General features: G+C 35.6%; 1 annotated feature.

The window, feature by feature from the left end:
- Nucleotides 320-1519: an enhancer, noted in NCBI's record as "MED14-independent group 3 enhancer chr4:168508591-168509790 (GRCh37/hg19 assembly coordinates)". NCBI's record gives its function as "activates an origin of replication core promoter dependent on BRD2, BRD4, P300/CBP and CDK7 cofactors, and independent of MED14, by STARR-seq in HCT116 cells {active_cell/tissue: HCT116}" and the evidence as "EXISTENCE:reporter gene assay evidence [ECO:0000049][PMID:35650434]".

Raw genomic sequence — 4577 nt, forward strand, 5'->3', positions numbered from 1 at the left:
ATTTATATTTGTATTTTTTGTTTTAGGACACACTATAGAATAAAAAAAGAAAGAAACATTAAAAAATAACAGATTCCATAATATACCTCTCTCTGATAATCTGTCTTCATTTGATAGAAACACAATTTTAAGTATTTGAATAAAAATATTTACCCGAGGTAGGTAATGTAAAATCTATCTGATATATTTAAGTGATAAGATCATGAATAATTAATGTTTAATAGCTAATATTTTGCTGAGTGTTTTTTAGACGCCAATCGCTTGCCTAAGGATTTCACATATTATCTATGTATATGGCATTATAATTTATTGGAGGTGCTTTTATCATAATTTTTCAGATGAGAAAACTGAGGCATGGAAAGTTTGGGGAATCTGCTCAAGGTTACTCACATAGTAGGGGACGAATGTCAGTATAAAAGCTTAGTCACTGTGACTCAAGAACTAACAACCTTCGCTCCTCTAATGTGCCATCTCCCAGTAACAGTGACTAATACAGTTGTGAGGGTATCACCCTCTGTTTAATACTAAAGATTTAAGGAAAAGTTATCCCATATCAAAATATTTGTATCTTGAGAAGATATTTGAGAAGACCATCACAAAGCTGTGGATTCTTAACGGTTAGACTCTAAAGCAATGAGGTGAATTGCTTTTTAGAGATTTTAAAGTAATGAGATTAATATTTTTTTAAAAAGATAGATAACCTAAACATGTAAATGCATGTTATAGTTTTAAAAACTAAGAAATAATAATATTTTTCAAGTAATTCTGCCATATTTGAAAACATTTTGGGAAACTGGTATTTGAGATTGCATCAGAGATACTTTCTGAGCAAATAATGAACATGGGTCACAATATTTTCTTTTTCTTTTTTCTTTTCTTTTTTTTTTTTTTTTTGAGACAGTCTTGCTCTGTCACCCAGGCTGGAGTGCAGTGGCGCAATCTCGACTCACTGCAAGCTCCGCCTCCCAGGTTCACGCCATTCTCCTGCCTCAGCCTACCCGGTAGCTGGGAATACAGGCGCCCGCCACCAAGCCCGGCTAATTTTTTTTTGTATTTTTAGTAGAGATGGGGTTTCACCATGTTATCCAGGATGGTCTCGATCTCCTGACCTTGGGATCACAATATTTTCAAATCCTATACTGGCTCGTGTTTTATAGAATAGTATTACACACTTTGTTCTCTGTGATTACACATCAGACTTAAATCTGAGTGACATCTTTTATCTTTTCACACACACCCACATACACACACATACATGCATGTGCAACAAAATTGCCTGCAAATGACCTGGATTTGACATCAAGGTTATTTAAATGTGGGATGACAATGGTTCCAGACAAGAAGTATTAGAAACATTTTTCCTTATTCATATAGTAGGTGAGGCTAACAATCCTGGAAATCACATATAAAACAAATACAAGAAGACTCTGAAAGCTAGTGAGAAGTTAGGCTGCTAGGGACCTTTGGAACCAAGGAATGACACTACAATAACTTGCCTAAATTTCCTTTTCAGATTTATTTATCTCAGGCTTAGTGCTGGAGAAGTCAACAACCTAGAAATGCCAAGGAACACAAGTTAAAAAGCTGATGAAAAGCCTGCTCTCTCCAGCTTAATGACCAAGAAAGGGGCAGCCAAGAAAAACATAAGGCTTTTAGACAACAACCACCCTATTCCATGGAATACCACTGTTGCAGTCCCACTCCCACTCCTGTAAGCAAAAGCTGAGTGGAGAACCTAGACTTCCACCTTTCATCTTCACCAGGCCGTAACAAGACACTGTTAAAGACAAAATAATATTTAATAACACTTGTTAACGCATGGTTGGGAAGACTGTATTCAGGATCATTACATGATCCCATTGCATGGACAAGCCAAGGAGTAGAGCAGGGTCAGTGGATGGAAAATTACTAAGAGGAAACATGAGGTGTAAGAAGGATTCTGGCCAAACCAACCTAACAGGGCTTACATCACTTAGAGAATAGTGGAGGATGAGGGACTGGATCAGACATCAAAGATGATCAGATATTAAGGATAGAGGTTTTTGCTAGCAAAATGTAGATTTTTGCTAAAACTATATTTTAAAGGAAGTGCACATATGGACTTAGGAGAAGGTTCAGGAGCCTGAATAAATTGTAGTGAAGCAGAGAATCTTGTCAACACGCCAAACTCCCTAGCATCTTTGTGTAGATGCCAGAAAAGGATGAGTGTAAATTGGGATCCAGGACCCTTAACCCTGCTGGGCAGTAATTAGCCTCTCCTTTGTTGATGGAAAATATGTGGGAAACCTAGATTTTACCTCATCAAATACTAACAAAGCAGCCTTCCCTCTCCCCATTGGGGGTGTCAAAGGAGGCATAGAAGAGATTCAGGATTCCTATCACCACACAGCATAATGAACCTGCACCCTATTATTTCGGCAGTGGTAACATAGGGAGCTATAATGAGACCTCCCTCCTCCTCCCAGTAAGGATAGTATCAGTGGAGGTCTAGTGTGGAGCCTGAAATACCAGCCATAATAAGGCACTCCTTCTTTGCTGTCAAAGGAGGTTGAGTGAGGAACCTGGACTTTAATCTCCACCTGGTAATAAAAAGGAGGGTTCCTTTCTCTTGCTGATGCAGTATCCTAGACCTGCTAAAAGACAAGATTTACATAAGACCCAGCTTTTCATAACATCCCAAAAGTCCAGAATACAATGAAAAATTACTCATCATACTATGAGGCAGGACAATACTAAAATGACAGATGGCAATAAACAGATGCTAGCACTGAGATAGCACAGGTGCTAGAATGATCTAAAAAGAATGTTAAAGCAGCTGGCATACTTAAATTTGCAATTATGAACATATCTGAAGCAAATAAAAACATCAAAAATCTCAGCAAAAAATACAAAGTCTCAGAAAAGAAATAGAAGATATAAATAAGAAGAAAATGAACATTTTAGAACTGAAAAATATAGTACTCAAATTAAAAATCTGAAAGAATGTGCCTTATAGCGGAATGAAGAGGGCAATGGAAAGAACAAGTGAACTCAAAGACAAAACAACAGAAAACAGCCAACTTGAGAGAAAACAGACTTTAAAAAGAAATAGGCAGAACTTCAGCAAATGGAAATTCTCAAAAGATTTAACATTTTTATCACTTAAGTCTCAGAAGGAGAGAAGGAAGAGGATGGTGTTGAAAATTTCCCAACCTTGTAAAAAAGACCAAAACCTACATATTCAAGAAGCTGAACAAACACAAACAGGATAAACAAAGAAATCCTCATCAAGATTTATTATAATTAAACTTCAGAAAACTAATGACAAAGAAAAAAATCTTGAAAGCAGTAAGAGAGAAACTTCACTTTACCCATGAAAGCGGGGGTGGGCAATTTAAATAACAGTCAATTTTTAGTCAAAAATCATGAAAACCTGAAGGAAGTGATATCAAATTTTTCAAGTGCTAAAAGAAAAAAGGGCAATCCAGAATTCTGTATCTAGAAAAGATACCCTATAGGATGAAAAAAAAAAAAATACATTCTCAGATAAATTAAGAGTAGGGAATTTGTGACTGGAGGATCTACCCTAAACAAATAGCTAAAGGAAGTTTTGAAACAAGCAGAAACTGATCTTTAAAAACTTGGAAAATCAGAAAAGAAGAAAGAAGAATATAGGAAAGAAAAAAACTGTGGGTAAATATAAACCGCCAGATAAAACCACAAAAGACCCAAAATAGCCAAAGTAATCCTGAGCAAAAAGAACAGAGCTGGAGGCATCACAGATCTCAAATATACTACAAAGCTATACTAAATTACAACAGCATAGTATTGGCAAGAAAACAGACATACAGATCAATGAACACAATAGAGAGCTCAGAAATAGATCTATAAAATTACGATAAACTGATCTTTGACATAGATGTCAAGAACACACAATGAGCAAATAACAGTCTCTCTAGTAAGTAGTGTTGGGATAATTAGATATCCACATGCAAAAACAATGATATTGGATACACCTCACACTGTATATAAAAATTCAACTCAAAGTGAATTGAAGACTTAAATGTTAAACCTGAAACAGTAAAACTACAAGAAGAAAACAGAGGGGAAAACCTTCCTGTCATTGGTCTAGGCAATGACTTTTTTGCTATCAGCCTAAAAGCATAGGCAACAAAAGCATAAACCAACAAATGGGATTGCATTAAACTAAAAAGCTTATGGGAAGCAAAGAAAATAATCAACAGAGTGAAGAGACAACCTGTAGAACAGAAGAAAGAATTTGCGAACTATACATTTGGTAAGGAGTTAATATCCAAAACATATAAGGAGCTCAAGCAATTTAATAGTGAAAAAAAGCCCAACATTAAAAATGGTCAAAGAATCAAAATAGATATTTCTCAAAGGAAGACATCTAAATGGCCAGAAAATATATGAAAAAAATGTTCAACATCACTAATCATCTGGGAAATGCAAATTAAAACCACAGTGAGGTATCACCCCATACTTGTTGGAATGATTATTATCAAAAAGAAAAAAGAAAACAAATATTAGCAGGAACATGGAGAAAAAGAGAATGCTTATACACTATTGGTTGGAAT

Source organism: Homo sapiens, chromosome 4 (assembly GCF_000001405.40).
Source record: "Homo sapiens chromosome 4, GRCh38.p14 Primary Assembly".
In the NCBI taxonomy this organism is placed as follows: Eukaryota; Metazoa; Chordata; class Mammalia; order Primates; family Hominidae; genus Homo; species Homo sapiens.